This window comes from Homo sapiens, chromosome 1 (genome assembly GCF_000001405.40).
Source record: "Homo sapiens chromosome 1, GRCh38.p14 Primary Assembly".
Taxonomy (NCBI): Eukaryota; Metazoa; Chordata; class Mammalia; order Primates; family Hominidae; genus Homo; species Homo sapiens.
Window position 1 is genome coordinate 173,737,583 of NC_000001.11, and position 23,349 is coordinate 173,760,931.

Sequence of the window (23,349 nt, forward strand, 5' to 3'; positions counted from 1 at the left end):
CCTATTTTTATGCCAGTATCATGCTGTTTTGGTGACTATAGCCTTGTAAAATAGTTTGAAATTAGGTAATGTGATGCCTCCAGATTTGCTTAGCCTTCCTTTGGGTATGTGGGCTCATTTTTGGTTCCATATGAATTTTAGGATTGTTTTTTCTAGTTCTGTGAAGAATGATGGTGGTATTTTTATGGGAATTGCATTGAATTTATAGATTCTCTTGGCTGTATAGACATTTTCACAATATTGATTCTACCCATTCATGAGCATGAGATGTGTTTCCATTTGTTTGTGTCATCTATGATTTCTTTCAGCAGTGTTTTGGTAGAGACCTTTCACTTCTGTAGTGAGATATATTCCTAAGTATTTTATCTTTTTTTTTTTTTTTGCAGCTATTATAAAAGGGGTTGGGTTCTTGATTTGATTCTCAGCTTGGTTGCTCTTCGTGTATAGCAGTACTACTGGTTTGTGTACATTAATTTTGTACCCTGAAACTTTACTGAATTCATTTACCAGTTCTTGGAGCTTTTTGGATGAGTCTTTAGGGTTTTCTAGGTATACAATCATATTGTCGGCAAACAGCGACAGTTTGACTTTCTCTTTAACAATTTGGATGCTCTTTATTTCATTTGTTTGTTTGTTATAAGAGATGAGGTCTTGCTTTGTCCCCCAGCTTTGACCTCCAGGGCACAAGCGATCCTCCCGCCTCAGCCCCCCACGTAGCTGGGACTACAGATGCGCACCATCATGCCCGGCTAATTTTTGTATTTTTCTGTAGAGACACGGTTTTGCCATGTTGCCCAGGCTGGTCTCAAACTCCTGAGCTCAGGCAATCCACCTGCCTCGGTGTCCCAAAGTGTTGGGAGTACAGGCATGAGCCACTGCACCTGGTCCTGGATGCCCTTTATTTCTTTCTCTTGTGTGATTGCTTTGCCTAGGACTTAAAGTACTATGTTGAATAGAAGTGGTGAAAGTGGGCATCTTTGTCTTGTTCCAGTTCTCAGGGGGAATGCTTTCAACTTTTCCTGTTCAGTATAATATTGGCTGCAGGTTTGTCATAGATGGTTTTTATTACCTTAAGGTATGTCCCTTCTATGCCGATTTTCCTGAGCATTTCAATCATAAATTGATGCTAGATTTTGTCAAATGCTTTTTATGTATCTAATGAAATGATCATATGATTTTTATTTTTAATTCTGTTTATGTGGTATATCACAATTATTGACTTGCATATGTTAAACTATCCCTTCATCCCTGGTATGAAACCCACTTGATCATGGTGGATTATCTTTTTGATATGCTGTTGGATTCAGTTAGCTATTATTTTGTGGAGGATTTTTGCATCTATGTTCATCAGGGATACTGGTCTGTAGTTTTGTTTCTTTGTTATGTTCTTTCCTGGTTTTGGTATTAGGGTGATACTGGCTTCATAGAATGATTTAGGGAGGATTCCCTCTTTCTCTGTCTTTTGGAATAGTGTCCATAGGATTGGTACCAAGTCTTGTTTTTTTTTGGAGATGGAGTCTTGCTCTGTCGACCAGGCTGGAGTACAGTGGCACGATCTCAGCTCACTGCAACCTCCACCTCCCACATTCAAGCGATTCTCCTGCCTTAGCCTCCCGAGTATCTGGAACTACAGGCACCCACCACCACGCCCAGCTAATTTTTTGTATGTTAGTGGAGATGGGGCTTCACCGTTTTGCCCAGACTGGTCTTGAACTCCTGAGCTCAGGCAATCTGCCACCTCAGCCTCCCAAAGTGCTGGGATTACAGGCACGAGCCATCACGCCTGGCCCAATTCTTCTTTAAATGTCTGATAGACTTCAGCTGTGAATCCATCTGGTCCTGGACTTTTTTTTTGTTAGCAATTTTTTTTATTGTCATTTCAATCTCACTGTTGTTATTGGTCTGTTCAGAGTTTCTGTTTCTTCCTGGTTTAATTTAGGAGGGTTGTATATTTTCAGGAACTTATCCATCTCCTCCAGGTTTTCTAGTTTGTGCACATAAGGATGTTCATAGTAGCCTTGAGTTATCTTTTGTATTTCTGTGGTATCGGTTGTAATATCTCCCTTTTTTTTTTTTTTTTTTTTTTGAGATGGAGTTTCACACTTGTCGCCCAGGCTGGAGTGCAGTGGTGCAATCTCAGCTCACTGCAACCTCTGCCTCCCGGGTTCAAGCAATTGTTCTGCCTCAGCTGGGATTACAGGCACCTGCCACCACGCCCAGCTAATTTTTTGTATTTTTAGTAGAGACAGGGTTTCACCATGTTGGGCAGGCTAGTCTCGAACTCCTGACCTCAGGTGATCTGCCCACCTTGGCGTCCCAAAGTGTTGGGATTACAGGCGTGAGCCACCACGCCCAGCCCCATTTTGTTTCTAATTGAGCTTATTTGGATCTTCTCTCTTCTTTTCTTGGTTAATCTTGATAATGGTCTATCCATTTTGTATATCTTTTCAAAGAACCAGCTTTTCTTTCATTTCTCTTTTGTACTATTTTTTCTGTTTTATTTCATTTAGTTCTGCTCTGATCTTTATCATTTCTTTTTTCTTTTTTTTTTTTTTTAATGATGGAGTCTCGCTCTGTTGCCCAGGCTGGAGTGCAGTGGCGCGATTTCGGCTCACTGCAAGCTCCGCCTTCTGGGTTCACGCCATTCTCCTGCCTCAGCCTCTCCAAGTAGCTGGGACTACAGGCACCTGCCACCACGCCCGGCCAATTTTTTGTATTTTTAGTAAAGATGGGGTTTCACCGTGGTCTTGATCTCCTGACCTCGTGATCCACCCGCCTCGGCCTCCCAAAGTGCTGGGATTACAAGTGTGAGCCACCATGCCCGGCCTATCATTTCTTTTCTTCTGCTGGGTTTGGGTTTGGTTTGTTCTTGTTTATCTAGTTCCTTGAGGTTTTACCTTAGATTGTCTATTTGTACTCTTTCAGAATTTTGATGTAGGCATTTAATGCTATGAACTTTCCTCTTAGCACCGCTTTTGCTGTATCCCACAGGTTTTGATAGGTTGTATCACTATTATTGTCAGTTTAAAGAATTTTTTAATTTTCATCTTGATTTCATTGTTGACCCAAAGATCATTTCAGGAGCAGGTTATTTAATTTCCATGTATTTGCGTGGTTTTGAGATTCCTTCTGGAGTTGATTTCTCCCCGCCGAGAAAGCAGGCAGGACTTTCAGGCCTTGCCCCTCCCTGTCTGCCGTGGCTTTGGCTTCCGTGTCGTATCTGCACTTCTCATTTGCCCCCCCGGATTCTGCCCAGGAAAATTTGCACTCAGTCAAATTATTACACAGTTTACCTGGAAATCTCCTTCTTTCTATGGCCCTTCCCCAGTTCCACTGGCTGTTCTCCCCAAGGACCCCTGTGAGATAAAGTCAGAAATGGCTTCCCTAGGGACCAGGACTGCCTACAGGGCTTTTCCTACTGTTGCTTCTACTTTTATATGTCAGTAAATTCACTTCAGCTGTAGGTAAGATTATATCCTTCTCCCATAATCTGGATTTTCAGGTTCACCAGTGAGGATGTGTGTTCAGAGGTGGGCTTTGCCCTTCTCATACTTTTGGGCACTCACAGTTTTTTGGCTTTCAGATTTTGCAGCTGCAAGCCACTTCTATCAAAGGATCTGTGAATTATTTTCAGTTTTCCTGGTATGTTCCTGTGGTGGTTCTTGGAGTAAAAGTTCACAGTGTGAATCTCCACACACTGTTCTGTCTGTCCAATTGGGGGCTGCAAGTTAGTCCTGCCTCCTATCTGCCATTTTTTACATATTTTCTATTTTATACTTTAATACCACCCTTCTGTCCACCAGGATGACCTCCAATGGATCAAACGTTTAAACATACAAAATAAAACCATGAAAATATTACACAATGATATGGAGCAATTTCTTTATAATCTTGAAGTGAAAAAGGTCTTTCTAATTGACTAACCCAGAAAAGACAGAAGATAAAATTGATAGATTTGACTACATACAATTCAAAATTTTCTGCATGGTAAAACAAAGCAAAATAAAAATTACAAGACAAAAGTCAAAGCCAAGCTGGGGAAAAATATCTGTAAATCGTCCTTTCTGGTGGTGATGACCTTCCCACAAGAACATGCCTCTTGCAAAGGATCTCCTTCATCCCTCTCCAGAAGAGGAGAAGAGGAAACACAAGAAGAAATGCCTGGTTCAGAGCCCCAATTCCTACTTCATGGATGTGGAATGCCCAGGATGCTATAAAATCACCATGGTCTTTAGCCATGCACAAACTGTAGTTTTGTGTGTTGGCTGCTCCACTGTCCTCTGCCAGCCTACAGGAGGAAAAGCAAGGCTTACAAGAAGGATGTTCCTTCAGATGAAAGCAGCACTAAAAGCACTCTGAATCAAGATAAGTGGGAAACCATCTCGATAAACACATTTTGGATAAAAAAAATTGTAACTTGTATCATAGACGACATTAATCTCCTTATGTCAAGAGCTTCTGTTGGTCAATAACACAAACCGATGACCTAACAGAAAAATGGGCCATAAACAGAAAAGAAATTCAGATTCCCCTTAAACATATGAAATATGCTTGTTTAAAATAACTAAAACACAAAACTACATCAAAGTAACATTTTTTATCTATCAGATTACAAATATCCAGAAGTTTTGTACACCCTGTTGGCAAGGCTGTGGGAAATAAGATCATTGCTAGTGTGAGTATAAATTAGTACAACCCTTTTGAAAGGAACTACGGCGGTATCTATCAAAGTTACATACTTTTTACACACACTATTTTGACTCAGCTTCCTACTTCTGGAAATTTGTACTACAGGTGTACTGGAGAATGGAACAGTTTGGCACCATAAACAAGGTCAACAAATCAATACCAATGAGATCATCTGAGAAAGGGAGAGAGAAGAAAAAAGCCCTAAAATTTTTCCAATATTGAGGGATAAGTGACTGGCAATGGTAACAGGGAATATTTAGAGAGGATAGAAGAAAAGAGCAAGCATGGGTTGTGAGATGCAAAGGAAGAGATTATTTTAAGAAGGATATATACGTATATATACGTGCAGATATATACACATACGTGTATATACGTGTATGTATATACACGTATGTGTATATATATGCATATATCGTATGTATATGTGTACATATACATATGTACACATGTATGTATATACATGTGTGTATATATGTAAATATGTATATATACACGTATATTTCAGCATATATATATGCTGAAGTAAAAGTTATTAATAGTATTAGGCCCATTGGCCTTAAGAAACATTAAAACATTATAAACATTTTGGTACTACAGAAGAATCTACGCAGGATGCAATCCAGACACCATAAAAAGATTGGTTTGATTGCATAAAAGTTAAAATTTTTTGTTCTTTCCAACATAAAAAGCATCATGAACTAAAAAATCAATGTCAAACTCAGAAAATCTATTTGGAACATACATGACAGAAAAATGGTAATTCCCATGAGCTCATCCAAATTTAATCAGAAAAAAAAACATGAAAAATACAATGGAAAAATAAGCATAGGGTATAATAAGGAATGTGTAAAAAAAAAAAAAAAGGTGGTCAAATGGAAAATAAACATGAAAGGATGCTCAACCTCACCTATAATTAAAGAAACATATTTCAAAACAAAATACCACTTTTTTAGCCTTATATTGGAAAAATACTATTTAAACTTTATTTGAAAAATATTCAAATTTATAGGAAATCACAGGAATAAGACAAAACTTTTATGTACGCTTTGTCCAGATTCACCAGTTGTTAACATTTTGCCTCATTTACCTTGTCATTCTTTCCTTGCTCTATGAATATTTTTATCTGGGTAATTGGAGAGTATATTGCCAATATCATATTCCTTTACTCCTGAATTCTCCTATACTCCTTTTATATTCCTTTACTCCTTTACTTTCATATTCCTTTATTCCTGAACACTTACTATGATGGTTGCAAAGTGGTGATTTTAAAAAAAAAAAAACTCCATTTTCTGTCTACATTCTGCTATAAGAAAGAATTTTTCTTAACCCGTATTCATTGATTAGCACTGTGGACTCATGGCTTATTCTATTCAGTAGATTAGTGTCCTTTGTTGCTATTTATTATTTTGATGCATGGTAGGTTCTGGTTTATCCGTCTTGTGTTTCCTTTTGGAAAATTAAATACATGTATGTTTTCCTATTTCTATGTCTTTCTTGCATGCTATATATTTTGTTGCACCTTGCCTTTTAATATTTTCTGGAATTCATTCCATATTAGTTGTTTTAGATGGTCCTTGTTTTTCATAGCTGCATTGTACTCCTTGTGTGGATGTACCACTGTTGGTTCAATCAGTCTCCAATGTTTGAGCATTTAGGTAGCTTTAAATATTTTGCCATCACAAATAATGCTGCAATGAATAACATCTTATATGAACATGTCAATATTGTTGGAAGTTTATCTTTAGAATAAATTCCTAGAAATAGGATTGCAAGGCCTAAGTTTAACTTCATTTAAGTATCACCAATTTCTCTTCCATGGGGATTGAATCATTCTAACCAGTAATATATGAGGATAAATGTTTGTCCACAGCCTCACCAACAGATTGTATTGCCAGCCTTTGGAATTTTTGCTAATTTAACAGATAAGAAGGGAATTTCAGTATCATTTTAATGTATACTTCTCTGAAAATAACTAAAGTTGAACATCTTTACTATTTTTAAGGGCCATATGTATAATTTTTGTGAATTGTGTTTTAATGTATTTTGCCCATTTTGCTATTAAGATTTTTGGTTTTTTCTTCAATTTTTTAAAGTTCTCTATATATTAACAGTGTTAGCCTTTTATCCATGATACATGTCACAAATATTTTTTTCCAGTTTGCATTTGTCTTTCAAGTTTGCTTATTGTATTTTTGATAATACAAAAGTTTTTGGTTTTTTTAAAGTCAAATGTATCAGTCTTTTCTTTTATGGTATCTGGATTTTGAGGCAGAGTTTGAAAGGTGTCCCCAAACCCAGGTTACAGAGAAATTTACACATATTTTTTCTAGCATGTAAATGGTCTTAGTTTATCTTTGTGTATGGTGTGAAATATGGACCTAATTTTATCTTTTTCCAAATGGCCATCTAGTCTAAATACCGTTTATTTAAAAGCCTTTCTTTGCCCCACTGATTTCAGATAGCATCTTTATTATACACTAAATTTCTGTATGTACTTGGTTTTGGACCTTCTGTTCTAGGCCATATACCAGTATGATACTGTTTTCTATTTATTATGGCTTAATTACTAAAGTTTTATAATGAATTTTAGTATGTATGCGGTAGGACTAGTAAACCCCTCCCCATCATGTAACTCTTTTGTTTTTCATTGTTTTCCAAGCTTTCTTGCTATTTATTTTTCCAGATGAACTTTAATGTCACCTTATCTAGTTCCAATAAAATAACTTGTTGGCATATTTATTGGGATCATATTAATTTATAAGTAAACTTAAGAACAGTCATTTTATGATGTTGAGTTGTCCTATCCAATAACAAGATTTTATTTCTTCAATTGTATTTTTGTATCTCTTGGGAACGTTTTATGGTTTTATTCATCTAACTTTTATACATTTCTTTTTTCTTTTTTTTTTTTTTTTTTTGAGACGGAGTCTGGCTGTGTCACCCAGGGTGGAGTGCAATGACGTGACCTCCACTCACTGCAACCTCCGTTCAAGCAATTCTCCTGCCTCAGCTTCCCGGGAAGCTGAGATTACAGGCGTGCACCACCAGGCCTGGCTAATTTTTGTATTTTTAGTAGAGACAAGGTTTCACCATGTTGGCCAGGCTGGTCTCGAATGCCTGACCTCAAATGATCCGCCCTCCTTGGCCTCCCAAAGTGCTAAGATTACAGGTGTGAGCCACCCCACCCAGCCTACATTTCCTTTTAAATTCACTTCTTAGTATTTTTTGTTGCTATCAAAAATAGGTTTTTCTCCTCCATTATATCTTCTAACTGGTAATCATTAATGTATATGAAAGCTGCCTCACTGAATTTTTTAATTATTTGTGTTACATTTACCATTGATTCTTTAGAGTTTTTTTGGAATCCTATTATATCACCTGCATATCAGTAGTTTTATTTCTTCCTTTCCAATTGTTCATGCTTCTAATTGTTTTCTTTTGTCTAGTTGCTTGATAACTCTAGTAAAATGTTAAATGGTAATGGAAATATTGTACATACTTATTTGTTTCTGACATTAGTAGGAATGCCTCTGGTGTTTTCCCATTAAGTAATATACTGGCTTTAGGATTGAGGTATAGATATTTTATCATGTTTAGAAAGTATTTGCTTGAACCCAGGAGGCGGAGGTTGCAGTGAGCTGAGACTGCGCCACTGCACTCCAGCCTGGGCAACAGAGTGAGACTTTGTCTCCAAAAAAAAAAAGTATTCATGTCCAACAATTCCTATTCTCTTGAATACTTTTTATTAGGAGCAGTGTTGAATTTTGTCAAAGACTTTTTCAGTTTTTATGGAGATAATCATATGAACTTTCTCCTTAAACCCATTAATGTAACTTACATTAATGGAATCCTACAAGTGAAAACATCTTTGAATTATTGGCATACACCTTTTGATTATGGTGGTGTTAGAATCTATTCGCTAATATTCAGTATTTTTACATCAATATTCATAAATGATATTAGTCTTTAATTTCCTTGTACTGTCTTTGTCAAGTTAAGTATGAATATTATACTTCATGAAAATGAGTTGGAAGTTTTCTTCATGTTCTGTGCTCTGAAACAAATGTACTATGCAGACTATGGTCTGTAAAAGTTTGATAGAATTTCCCTCTGAAATCATCTAGGCTTCGTGCTTTTTTGTAAAGTAATTTATTGTTAAGTTTTTCTGTTTCTTCTATGAAATTTTCTTTCTTTTCAGGCATCAATTTGGGTAAACTGTATTTCCCTAGAAAATTACCAATTTCATCTAGGTTTTCAAATTTATCTGTATAGAGGTATACAAAGTAATCTCTTTAATTTTTAAATTTCTGTAGCAGTGGTTATTTACCCTTAATACTTTGATTTTGTATGTGTGTTTTTAATGTTTCTTTCCTGAATAAGTTAACTAATAATCCATTTTAACTTTTTTCAAACAAAGAGGATTTTTTACTTATTAATTAGATCTACCTTTTTGCTTGATTGTATTTCATTCTGGTTTTACCTTTATTATCTTCTTGCTTGTACTTTCTTTTGGCTTATTCTTTTTCTAGCTGTTTGAGTTGAGACTTAATTTATTTTCATTCTTTTGTATTAACTACTATAAGTATTTAAAGCTATTCTTCTCGGATCACTAGTTTTAATATATTTAATTGATTCTAGTCTTTAGTGCTTCATTATCATTGTTTTATAGAAATTCTGTTTATATTTCTGTAACTCAAAAGCTATTAATAGTTTTTTTTAATTTCTAGATGGAAGGGTTTTTTGTGTTTTTTAATTTCATTTTTAATTGCTAGTTTTAGTGCACTTTGATCAGTGTTTGCAGTAATTCTACTCTATGAAATTTGCTTTCTTGGTAACCTAATATATGATCAATTTTTCTATTTTATGTGTGCTTGAGAAAAATGTGTATTTTCTAGTTTCTGTTCTCATAATATAGTATTTGATATGTATGCATAAGATATACCTTATTGATTATGTCGCTTGGCTCTTCTATATTCCTTTTTTGTCCTTGGACCTGTGTGTTAAAGTCTCTTATTATCAGTGTGTCTATTTCTCTTTATATCATCTATAGGTAGTTACTGTGTTGCCTTATGCATAATCATAACTTTATGTCTTGATGATAAATTGTGACTTTGAGCTTTGTAAAGTGTTCTCCCTTGTCAGATTTAATTCATTTGTTGTCTAAGTTCTAGTTTGTCTGATATCTGGATTTCAACTCGTTTTCTTATTGTTTCCATTTGACTGTATATATTTGTTCTTCCCATTACTTTTAGCCTGTTCAAAATATGATGTTTTAAGTAATTTTCTTGAATTAGTGTGGAACTGAGTTTTGCTTTATGAGCAGATTTGAAATCCTTTCCTTTAAATAGGCAATTTAAGCCCATTTGCATTTATTGCTCTGACTGATATGTTTGTTTTCAACTCTATCATATTTTTATAAATAGTACCTGATTCAGTTATATTTACTGTATTTCTTTTTCTATGTGGAATCTTCTTTGCTTTTTATTTTAATTTCTTTTGGTATATAGGAAAGTTTATATTTTTGTTCCACTGGTTACTTTTACAAACTAGAAAAGAGCAAATTAAACCCACAGTAGAAGGAAGAAAATAATAAAGATTAGAATAAAAACCAAGAGCTCTTTAAAAAAAAAAAAATGATGAAACTCCATCTCCATACTGATCAAGAAAAAAAAGGAAAGAAGACACAAGTTACCAGTAACAGAAATGAAAGAGAAGATATCACTACAAATTCTTTATACATAAGAAGGATGATGAGGAAATATTATGAACAACATTTTACCTATAAATTCAGAGATGAAATAGGCAAATTCTCTGAAGAAAACACAAATTACAAAAACTAAGAAGAAACAGAAAAACAGAATAACCCTATATCTATGAAATAAATTGAATTAATAATTTAAAAACCTTCTCACAAAGAAAATGCCAGTCCCAGATGGTGAATTTATCAAAAATGTAAAGAAGAAATAACACTAATCCTATGCAAAGTCTTTCAGAAAAGGAGAATGAAGTTACCAACTCATTTTATAAGGCCAGAATTGCCCTGATTGAAACCACAGACACTAAAAGAAAACTACAGATCAGTATCTCTCATGATCTTAGATACAAAAATTCTTAACTATTAGTAAATTAATTCCAACAAAGTATAAAAGGGGAAATACTATGACTTAAGTGTGGTTTATATTATTAATTAATGTTGATAGAATCATTATCTTATACTCACATTTAATTTCTCATTGAAAATAATCTAACTTCTTTAGATGCCTTGATAACAGACTTGTCTCTTCATTTCTTCCCACTGTTTTCAAATACCAAATCCACTTTCCAAAAATAAAGATTTGCCATCACTGAGGAGCTCCAAAACAATATGCTAAATTAGGCTTTGGACCCCACTGGGTGCAGCACACCAACATGGCATGTGTATACATATGTAACTAACCTGCACATTGTGCACATGTACCCTAAAACTTAAAGTATAATTTAAAAAATCAGAAAAAAAAAAGAATTCTCTGCTTCAGAACGTTCTTGGATTATGGTAATATTCTGTATCTTGATTGTGGTCATGTTTACATGAGTATATAATTTATCAGAACTCATTGAGCTATACACTTAAAATTTTTTTTAATGTCTTGCTCTAACTATAAGTTGCGTTTCAGATCTAAGATATTCACAAATATCTGAAGAATATTCTTGATAGTAGAGAAAGTTCTGAAATCCCTTCTAGTTCTAATCCTTCCTCCAAAGTGAACCTGATACATACCATATTGAAATCCCAGTAAGGAAATCTTACCCTTGTTTATCGGACTAGCATGGCTCCATGTAGGTGCAAAAAAAGTCATTTGGAGCTTAACATTTGTGACTCATTTAAATTATTTTTGAACTTAATCAAATCTGTATTTAATTTTCTCCTACTTCATTAGACCTAGCTTAATTCATACAGTGTTGCTCTGCTCATAAACATACATTTTTAAATTGTCTAAACTCAACAATTAAGTTCACCATATACTTGTTAGAACAATTCCAGATGACTTTGCTTAGTCATTCGTGTTTGTTTTCAGCTTTATTCATTCTTCAAATAGCATCTACATTCATCTGAAGAAACTAAAAGTAAACTGATTACCATAATCGTGTGGGGCTTAGAGTTCAGATCGCCTCTAAACTCTTATTTAAGAGTAGATATTGTGAAGCATTATTTTCTTAACTTGGTTATTTGATTCAAGGATAGACTTTAGTGCTAGATCTGCCCAAATGGCATATCATTAATATCGTTTTACTGGTGGGGGAAAAGGAGAGGTAGCATTTTAGCCAGGCATGTCTATCAAAAGTATTATTTTTACTCTCTGCTCTTAGTGCCAAATATTTTCTCACCCAAATTTTCATATCTTCATGTCATCTTGCGTTTCCATTAAATGAGTTAACACCTTAGTAGATTATTCATAAACTTCAAACTTGGTGATCATTGATATTTATATAACATTTGGTTTATACTCTGATGAAATTTAAAAAAATGTTTAGGCACTTCACAAAGATACACAATACCATACTTAAGTGAAGAAATCACAGAGAAAAATAAGAGGAAAGCAAGATGCAGTCATGACTAAACTTTTGCATGCTGTGAAGACCAATGCACTTACTAGAGCTAAGCCCCAAATTTAGCGCTGGACTTTATAGTCCCTCAACACAAGGTTAACAGATAAAATACAGGGCACCCAATTAAATTTAAATTCCAGATAAACAAGTAATTTATAGTATAAGTATGTCTTGTATTTTTGCTTGCCAAACTAAGCCGCCCTACCACAGAGAAAAAAATGCAACCATTCTAATTACTAAATTACCTAAGCAACCTCAGCTAAAATTTAAAGGGTAACTATTTAATTTCCTGAACCTCAGAAAGTCTCTCACTCAGATGGTTTGCAGATTTATGCCATAAAAATTGAAGCATTCATTATTATTTCTGCTATAAATATAACTGGCCTTATGGCCCTTTACTGTTTTGAGATTTGTATTTTTTCCTAATGCACTCGAGAATATTTATTTATTTATTTATTTTCTTGGTGATATGGCCTCACCTGTCTCTCAGGCCAGAGTGCTGTGATGGTGGTACACCTACGGCGTACTGCAGCCTTGACCTCCTGGGCTCAAGTGATCCATTCACCTCAGCCACTGGAGTAGAAGGGACTACAGGCACGCACCACCATGTCCGGCTAATTTTTCTTTTTCTTTTTTTTTTTTTTTGAGATGGAGCCTCACTCTGTTGCCCAGGCTGAAGTGAAATGGCGCAATCTTGGCTTACTGCAACCTCTGTCTCCCGCGTTCAAGTGATTCTCCTGCCTCAGGGTTTCACCATGTTGGCCAGGCTAGTCTCAAACTCCTGACCTCAAGTGATCTGCCTGCCTCAGCCTCCTAAAGTGCTGGGGTTACAGGCATGAGCCACCACACCAAGCCTTAGCTAATTTTTTTATTTTTTATTTTTGTAGAAATAAGTTCTCACTATGTTGCCCAGGCTGGTCTCGAATTCCTGAGCTCAAATAGTTCTCCTGCCTCAGCCTCCCAAATTGCTAGGATTACAGGCATGAGCCACCACACTTGGCTAAGGAAAACATTCTTAATAAAATATTTAAATTATTTTTATGACCTATTGCATATTCTGCTAAATATTCTGACTTTTTGATGAGCATGATTATAACCCTGTCCCAAGAGAATCCATCAACTTCATTAGAGGTACTGCCTGCACTAATAGACATCACATGTAGTACAGTCTCGTGAGTAATAATATAACAAACCACGTGAAGGGTAGGAGTGACTGTTTCTTTCCTCTGCGTTGCACCCTGTCCCTTTTACTCTACATTCTGATGAATGGAATTACAAGGCCTTGGAATAGGTGGCTGGCCTGTACAACAAGGTAATATCCTTGTTGCCGTTTCATCTCCATTCTGACAGTTGCCTAGCCTTGGGTAAAGATAAATTATTGGTGTTTGTAGATTCTCACTAGCATATATATTAGAGAGTTTGATCGTCAGAGTTTTTTCACTGGTCTAATACTCTCCTCATTATATTCATTCTTGTTTACAGAATTGCTGACACTCTTATTCTTTTTTGAAACTGACCCCTTGGTTTTTCTGCCCTAGACACTGCCTATTCAGCAACTAATCTTCTGCAAGCTTTTTCTGACTTTTTATATGCCTTATATATCTGGAGTTATAGTTTGATATAGTTAATTTGTCTTATTTTGAATATAAATTTTTATTTTGATCTTTTATTTTTTAAGTCATTTTTCTTAAATTGCTTGACTCACAAATGATTATTTTTACTAAATTTTAATGGTGTCTTCTGTACCTTCCTTTGTTCTCTTTTCAAATTTTTCCTTTCCTCTGGTATCGTTTGAAACTTCAGCGCATTGTAGAATACAGCTTTGTCCCATAACCCTGAAGAAAAACACTGAGACAATAAATGTGATCACAGGATTTTTTTTTCTTCTTACCTAACTTTGAACAGGTAATGGAGAGTGAAGAGTTCATGTTGCTTCCAGCCAATCAACTCATTGATATAATATCCAGTGATGAGCTAAACGTTCGCAGTGAAGAACAAGTGTTCAATGCAGTGATGGCCTGGGTCAAATACAGTATTCAGGAAAGACGTCCTCAATTACCCCAGGTAATGATAGAAATTCTTCTCTAAGAAACTGCTGACCGGGCATGGTGGCTCATGACTGTAATCCCAGCACTTTGGGAGGCCAAGGCAGGTGGATCACAAGGTCAAGAGATCGAGACCATCCTGGCCAACATGGTGAAACCCTGTCTCTACTAAAAATACAAAAATTAGCTAGGCATTGTGGCGGGCGCCTGTAGTCCCAGCTACTTGGGAGCGTGAGGCAGGAGAATCACTTGAAACCAGGAGGCGAAGATTGCAGTGAGCCGAGATCGTGCCACTGTATTCCAGCCTGGCGACAGAGCGAGACTCCATCTCAAAAAAAAAAAAAACTGCTTAGTACTAGATGAGATAATACGTATTTGTCTTGCAAACATAAAACAGTTATCACTCCACATTCGTCTGTAAGAAAGTCCATCTGTTTCCAAATAATCAAGGAAATAAGTATTTAGAAGCATTTTGGTTGCTTATTAATGTGGGCTTTTTGCTCCTTTGCTTTCCCCGTATTTTGGATCAATTCTACTTTTGAATGATAGCACAATTCAAAACTTAAATTGTATAAAATGAACAAAAGAAAGCAAGGATGCTTCTTTTCCTATAGCTTGGAAATCCTACCAGTTTTCCTTCAATATGACTTGGAAATACTACCACACTTTCAAGAGTAAAGACATGATGCATCAGTCATCACTGAGTGATCAGTAGTTCACTTAAGACCCATTCTTGTTATTGTGATTATAGTCTTTAGCAATTCAACAAGATATTCTTCTGGATTGTGAATTAATTTGAGTCCAGCTATAGAAGAGCTTATAATGTCTTGCTGAACGTTTTTAGTAGTTATGCCTTCCTTCCTTCCTTATTTATGGTATTCGGTGAGATCCCAAAACAATTGGAAGCACAGTAGGGTACCATGGGTCATGTATTCTCTTAAATAGCTTATAGATGAGAGCTCATGCCTTTAATAGTGTTTATTGGCTGGGTGCAGTGGTACAAGCCCATAATCCCAGCACTTGGGAGGATAAGGCAGGCAGATCACTTGAGCTCAGGTGTTTGAGACCAGCCTGGGCAGCGTGGTGATTCCCCGTTTCTACAAAAAAAAAAATACAAAAATTTGTTGGGCATGGTGGCATGCACTTGTAGTTGCAGCTACTCTGGAGGCTGAGGTAGGCACATCACTTGAGCCCAGGAGATTGAGGCTGCAGTGACCTACGATCATGCCACTGTACTCCAGCCTAGGCAACAGAGTAAGACCTATCTCAAAATTAATTAATTAAAATAATGGTGTTTATTTTCTCATAGGTGCTGCAGCATGTTCGTTTGCCTTTGCTTAGTCCCAAGTTCCTGGTCGGCACAGTAGGCTCTGATCCCCTCATCAAAAGTGATGAAGAATGCAGGTATGAGTGACCCTGGATGGGAAAAATCAACAACTAAGCATTCCTATTTTTTCCTAATTTCCTTATTTGTATTGCTTCCTAAATATTGTATTTTGCAGAGCTGAAACCAGGGCTTTAATTTAACAAGGTTTTCTTCTGGGCTAGAGTCAAGAGGAGGAAAAGAAGAAGAGAGAACTGAACTTCCAGTGTTTCATTCCATTAGGTTTTTATGTGTGGTGCTTACTGGTGTAGAAGTGGCAATAAAAAGGTAGATTTCCAAGATTTTAATGCAGGCTTGAATTTAAAGAGTCAATTCTCTGCTAATATTTTTTTTTTCCTTGAGATAATTAAATAATGCTGTTGACTCTGTCAATGAACATTTTTTCCTTCCATCACATATGTCTGGTTGGGGAATAGAATCAGCCTTGCTTTCTAAATTGTGGACAGAGTTGAAGATCTGCCACTTTCTAAAACAGCTGTAGAAAGATTTTCACTAAAACTAGGTGAAGCAGTTTCCAGAGGTTTTTTGACGAAAGAAACTCTTAACTACTTTTTCAAAGGGGGGGAAAAAAGCAACCTATTTTACTAGGCTGTCTTTAAAGTATATACAAAATGTAATAAATTACATTCCCAATTTGACAGATTGTAAGATTTAGGTTCAAATCTGAAATCATCTGGGATTGTTAACCATTTTTCCCCAGCATGTCCCAAATATAAAAGTGAAAGAGAAAATCCATACTCAGAACTTTGTAAACTACACTGACCTTTGAACCTCCCTTGGTGATTAAAGACATTTAGAATGATCCCTGATTCTAGAATGGTGGTAGGACATGTAGATTCACTTGCATTTCTTCTATAAACTAAAGCCTGTTCTTTTAACAGGAGAGGCTGGAGGGGATTTTAGATGTTTCTATTTTATTTTATTGTATCTTTTTTATATTAATCATTCTTCATTTTTCAGTTTACCATAGACTAGAGTTAAACTAGATTTTTGTATTCTATATTTAAAACACAGACAGGCCGGGCGCAGTGGCTCACGCCTGTAATCCCAGCACTTTGGGAGGCCGAGGTGGGTGTATCACCTGAGGTCAGGAGTTCGAGACCAGCCTCAACATGGAGAAACTGCATCTGTACTAAAAATACAAAAATTAGCTGGACATGGTGGTGCATGCCTGTAATCCCAGCTATTCAGGAGGCTGAGGCAGGAGAATTGCTTGAACCTGGGAGGTGGAGGTTGCGGTGAGCCAAGATCACACCATTGCTCTCCAGCCTGGGCAACAAAAGTGAAACTCAGTCTCAAAAAAAAAAAAAAAAAACACACAGACAAATGGCAATTAATTCTCCTAAATATTTGCAGTAGCAAAAAGGAAAACCATGTACATTATACATGCTGAAATCTGAAGAAATAATACATAGATGCCCTCCTCCATTAAAAGTAAATCAGATTGTATTGTACTGATTCTGATGCAGAAAGTAAAAGTACTTATGAAGTCATATTTAAAAGAAGACCCTTCCTGATATCCTAACTTCTTTTTGCTGCAGTTTCTTCCTCTATAAAGTGAGGATGATAATAGTGCCTATTCCATAAGGCTGTTGTGAAGATTAAATGAGTTTATATCTATTAAGCACTTAAAACCAGGACTAGCACATAGCTGTAAGTGTTGTTACTACCATTAATTTTGTGTTGGTTTGCTCAATATTATAGCTCTATAGTATTATTTGTAGGAACCCTCAAATGACCTAACAAGCTATTAGGAGATCAAAGTCTTTGTCTTTTTTTTTTTTTTTTTTGAGACGGAGTCTCGCTCTGTTGCCAGGCTGGAGTGCAGTGGTGCAATCTCGACTCACTGCAACCTCTGCCTCCCAAGTTCAACCGATTCTCCTGCTTCAGCCTCCTGAGTAGCTGGGACTACAGGCGCGTACCACCACACCCAGCTACTTTTTGTATTTTTAGTAGAGACGGGGTTTCACCATATTGGCCAGGATGGTCTCAATCTCTTGACCTCATGATCCACCGCCCCTCAGCCTCCCAAAGTGCTGGGATTACAGGCGTGAGCCACTGCAAAGTCATTACATGTGTAATTACTAGACTCTTCTCTTAAAGTGTCTTAACAAGACAGGAAATATGTCTCGGTAGACTTGTTGAGAGTAAACCATTCATATGTTACCAGATAGCAAATTTGTGGCAGTACAGTGTTTCTTTTCAGCAATCCGATTTTTGACCCAGTTTTATTACTTTAATCTAGCAAATAACTATTGCCCTGGCTGATGTGCTACCTTGCTAATATCTTGCAGAATCTAATAAAATTTATTAAAAAGTAGTAACTCTGCAGTGTGGTAATCAAATTGTAATTTTTACTTTTCTATAAGTTATTGTTGGCTGTAAGCATGTTGAGCTTTAGGCTAAATTTGCAGTGAGACATGAGTCATGATGGAAATACCAATCAATTCACAACTCAGTTTGACTGGCATTATTGGTTTCATGTTTGTGCCAATTTTAATATTGGCTGGCATTCATGATTTGGTTTGATTTATGCTTGCTTCCCTTTGCCAACCTATATATTCCTAAACTACATTGGGACTTAACTAACAATGTAATTTAGATATTTGGAATAAAGGCAGAATTTTTTCTACAGAGACTTGGTAGATGAGGCTAAAAACTACCTCCTATTGCCGCAAGAACGACCACTAATGCAAGGACCAAGGACGAGACCACGGAAACCTATCCGATGTGGGGAAGTACTCTTTGCAGGTTTGGATCTTAATATACTGTTAGTAAATTGAGTATTTTCCCAGGTGAGAAACTGTCATTTGAAAAATCCTTTGGACAATTATGATATTTACTGTCATAAGACACAAATAATAAGTCAGCATATAGCTTGACTCATAACCCATGATTCCACACTGATATACTCCAAAAGAGTGCTCTATTCTTTTTTCTCATTCAACACCTTTAATATCTATTTTTATATAAATCCAAAAATGTTGGCTGGTCACAGTGGCTCATGCCTATACAGCTTTCTGGAGGCCAGGCGTTTGAGACCAGCCTGGGCAATATAGGGAGGCCCCATCTTTACAAAAAATAAGAAAAACAATTGGCTGAGTGTGGTAGTGCATGTCTGTAGTCCCAGCTACTTGGGAGGCTGAGACAGGAGGATGGCTTGAGCCTAGGAGGTCAAGGCTGCAGTGAGCTGTGATTGCACCACTGTACTCCAGCCTGGGGAACAGAACAAGATCCTGTCTCAAAAAATAAAAAATAAAAATGTCGTGCAGTAGATGTTTTGTTGAAATGAGTCACATGCATTAATTTATATATCAATGTGCAGCTCATCCCATAATCACATGGAATTGTGAAAAAACATTAAACAATTATAATTTATTTCTCCATTCTATGCATATCCATCTATAATTTCTCCATTCTATCCATATATACATATTATCTCATAATCCTATGTGAATTGGTATCATTGCCTTCCTTTGTAAAATAGACGTAATACTAACTTATTTACAGAATTGATTAAAGATTATAGCAATCCCAGTGGAATGAGTTGAAGTCATAACTTGCATTTTGACCTACTACTAGAGACATTTGGTGAGTCTAAGCATTAGGTCACAGTGAAGTTAGTAGTGAGTGTTACATTTTATGCTTCAGGATAGGATTCTCTTGACCATTTCTGTTACTTCCCCAGTTGGTGGTTGGTGCAGTGGAGATGCCATTTCCAGTGTTGAACGATATGATCCACAGACCAATGAATGGAGAATGGTGGCTTCAATGAGCAAAAGGAGATGCGGAGTTGGGGTCAGTGTTCTTGATGATCTGTTATATGCAGTAGGAGGCCATGATGGATCCTCTTATCTCAATAGTGTTGAAAGGTGAGTAAGGTCAATCTGTAATTTTCTCTCTACTATTCATATAGTTTTATTTGAGATGTTAATTAGGAAACAAATTGATTTAATGCTTTAGTATTGCATCTGTGGCACTAGTTGGCAACCTAAACAAGTTAGTATGATACACAAATTCTTTATGATCTGGTCTCCGCCTATTTTTCTAGTCTGTCTCCCATGACACACTACCACTCCCTAAGCATGCTACTACAGACACATCAAATTGCCTGCAGTTCCTTGGACATGCTGCATGTCCATTCCAAGTCATACCTCTCTCCTTACATATATGCATGCTGTTCTTTTTTCCCTGGGATACTTCTGCCACTTTAAGACTTACATTTCCTTTGGCCAGGTGCAGTGGCTCATGCCTGTAATCCCAGCTACTCGGGAGGCTGAGGCAGGAGAATGGCCAGAACCTGGGAGGCAGAGCTTGCAGTGAGCCGAGATCACGCCACTGCACTCCAGCCTAGGCAAAAGAGCGAGACTCCTTCTCAAAAAAAAAAAAAAAAGAAAAAAAAGACTTACATTTTCTTCAAGACACAAATGTTACTTAATACATACAACTTTCTATGATACCATACAGATGAGTTAGTTACTAGTTACTTGTTCCTTTGCCCTTCCATAAGTATTTTGAACATGTTTGTACATATCCATCACATTGTACTATACGTGTTGAAATGTGTTTCACCATAATATCTATCGCAGTGACTGGGCACATTGGGAATCTCTAGTAACTGATGTTTCAATAGCTTCTTGCTCTCAAGAAGCTGTGTTGATTAACAGTGACTCTTTGTTTCCATAACACATCTATGAAACGCTGCCGCATATCAAGTTCTAAAGATATAGATTGTGCAGCTGGGGAAAAATCTTAAAAAGCAGAGGGATCAGTCCCATAGAAGTAAAACAACTGCAACATGGAGAAACCTCATCTCTACAAAAAATACAAAAATTTACTAGTTGTAGTGGTGCACGCCTGTGAGTCCCAGCTACTCAGGAGACTGAGGCAGGAGGCCCGCTTGAGCCTGGGAGGTAAAGGTTGCCATGAGATGAGATTGCGCCATTGCACTCTAGTCTGGGTGACAGAGCAAGACTCTCTCAAAAAAAAAAAGAAAAAGAAAACAACACACACACTTAAAAATAAATTGATGACATCACAGAAGGGAAAAAATAAATTGATGGCATCACAGAAGGGATCATGGCAGACGGGAGGCAGGACTAGACTGAAGCTCCAGACCGGGCAACATGCGGAGGCTTGATTGCAAATGTTAGCTCCAGACTGACTGCAAGAAAAAATCAGCAATCTCAAGAGGACCCACAGACCCTCTGAAGAAAGCGGACTGCTCCTGCAGCACCCGGGAGAAACCCCAAATATTGGGAGTGCCCCAACTGCAGAAATGGGAAAGGGAGACCCTCCTCTCCCAAACACACACCCCCACTGGAGAAGCTGAAGGTCTGTTTGCAGGAGAAGTTTCCAACTTTACCTGGAGCTGAGTCAAGTTAGAGAGGCAAGCGAAATAACAGGGGTAGAGGAAGCAGCAGAAAGGCCCTGGGAGTTTGCTGGGTCCCCAAGCAGGCCATTCCTGCCTGGCACCACAGGGATCCATTGGGAGGGTGGCCAGAGGAGCAGGGGATAAAACTCCCCAGGGAGAAGGAATTCTCTAGCTGAACTTTGTAACAATTTGAACAGGGTGAGAAGCCTCCTGACCAGAACTCAAGGTAGGGTGCAAATCCTGCATGCAGACTTCACCGGCAGGGGGAAAACTAAAGCCCTTTTCTCTTGCAGCTGGGAGGCGGATAGCCTGGGGCAAGCCTGCTGCCCGCCTGTGGCCTGGAAACAGACTCAGAGTTGTGAGAGGGGCACGGTGGGAGTGAGACCATGGGAGTGAGACCAGCCCTTCAGTTTGTGTGGGAGCTGAGTGAGGCCTGTGACTGCCGGCTTTCCCCCACTTTACTGACAACCTGCATGACTCAGCAGAGGCAGTCATAATCTTCCTAGGTACACAACTCAAGTGACCTAGGAATCTCTTCCCCCATCCCCAACAGCAGTCGCAACAAGACCCGCCCAAGGAGAGTCTGAGCTCAGACATGCCTAATCCTGCCCCCACCTGATGGTCCTTCCCTGTCCACCCTGGTAGTGGAAGACAAAGGGCATATAATCTTGGGAGTTCTAGGACCCCACCTACCACCAGTCTCTCTCCACACTACTACAGCTGATGTTTTCTGGAAAGCACCACCTCCTGGCAGGAGGCCAACCAACACAAAAATAGGGTATTAAACCACCAAAACTAAGGATCCTCACGGAGTCCATTGCACCCTCCACCAGAACAGGTGCTGGTATCCACAGCTGAGAGACCCATAGATGGTTCACATCACAGGACTCTGTGCAGACATCCCCTACTACCAGCCCAGAGCTGAGTAGACTTGCTGGGTGGCTAGACCCAGAAGAGAGACAGCAATCACTGCAATTTGGTTCACAGGAAGCCACATCCATAGGAAAAGAGAGAGAATACTACATCAAGGGAACACTTCGTGGAACAAAAGAATCTGAACGATAGCCTTCATCCCTAGACCTTCCCTCTGACAGAGCCTACCCCAATGAGAAGGAACCAGAAAACCAACCCTGGTAACATGATAAAACAAGGCTCTTCAACACCCCCAAAAAATCATACTAATTCACCAGCAATGGATCCAAACCAAGAAGATTCCCTGATTTACCTGAAAAAGAATTCAGGAGGTTAGTTATTAAGCTAATCAGGGAGGGACCAGAGAAAGGCAAAGCCCAAGGCAAGGAAATCCAAAAATGATACAAGAAGTGAAGGGAGAAACACTCAAGAAAATAGATAGCTTAATGAAAAAACAAAAATTCAGGAAACTTTGGACACACTTTTAGAAATGCAAAATGCTCTAGAAAGTCTCAGTAATAGATATGAACAAGTAGAAGAAAGAAATTCAGAGCTCAAAGACAAGGTCTTTGAATTAACCCAATCCAACAAAGACAAAGAAAAAAGAATAAGAAAATATGAACAAGCCTCCAAAAAGTCTGGGATTATGTTAAACAACCAAACCTGAGAATAATCGGTATATCCGAGGAAGAAGAGAATTCTAAAAGCCTGGAAAACATACTCGGGAGAGTAATCAAGGAAAATATCCCCAGCCTTGTGAGAGACCTAAACATCCAAATACAGGAAGCACAAAGAACACCTGTGAAATTCATCACAAAAAGATCTTTCCCTAGGCACGTTGTCATCAGGTTATCCAAACTCAAGATGAAGGAAAGAATCAAGAGCCATGAGACAGAAGCACAGGGTAACTTATAAAGGAAAACCTACCATATTAACAGCAGACTTCTCAGCAGAAACCCTATAAGCTAGAAGGAATTGGGGACCTATCTTCAGCCTCCTCAAACAAAACAATTATCAGCCAAGAATTTCGTATCCAGTGAAACTAAGCATCGTATGTGAACGAAAGATAAGCCGTTTTCAGACAAAGAAATGCTGAGATAATTCGCCATTACCAAATCACCACTACAAGAACTTCTAAAAGGAGCTGTAAATCTTGAAAGAAATCCTGGAAACACATCAAAACAGAACCTCTTTAAAGCATAAATCACACAGTACCCATAATGCAAAAATACAAGTTAAAAAGCAAAAACACAAAACAAAACCAAAGTACATAGGCAAGAAAGAGCACTACGAAAGTAAAGTAACGGTACCTCACATTTCAATACTAACATTGAATGTAAATGACCTAAATGCTCCAC

General features: G+C 37.5%; 1 protein-coding gene and 1 pseudogene across 8 annotated transcripts in view, besides 1 other annotated feature; both read left to right on the forward strand.

Moving 5' to 3' along the window:
* KLHL20 (kelch like family member 20) overlaps nt 1–23,349 on the forward strand; it is a 71,712-nt gene that overhangs the window by 22,602 nt on the left and 25,761 nt on the right. For all 8 annotated transcript variants that reach the window (XM_017001052.2, XM_017001053.2, XM_005245093.5 and 5 more), the window contains 4 exons: nt 14,182–14,340; nt 15,631–15,725; nt 18,341–18,456; nt 19,394–19,577. In XM_017001052.2, coding sequence (XP_016856541.1) covers nt 14,182–14,340; nt 15,631–15,725; nt 18,341–18,456; nt 19,394–19,577 — 554 coding nt within the window. The remainder of the gene's footprint in view (nt 1–14,181; nt 14,341–15,630; nt 15,726–18,340; nt 18,457–19,393; nt 19,578–23,349) is intronic.
* On the forward strand, nt 4,060–4,405 carry RPS27P7 (ribosomal protein S27 pseudogene 7; annotated as a pseudogene).
* Nucleotides 21,352–21,852: an enhancer, noted in NCBI's record as "H3K4me1 hESC enhancer chr1:173728073-173728573 (GRCh37/hg19 assembly coordinates)". NCBI's record gives its function as "activates a minimal SCP1, AML or CMV promoter by ChIP-STARR-seq in primed H9 embryonic stem cells {active_cell/tissue: H9 hESC(primed)}" and the evidence as "EXISTENCE:reporter gene assay evidence [ECO:0000049][PMID:30033119]".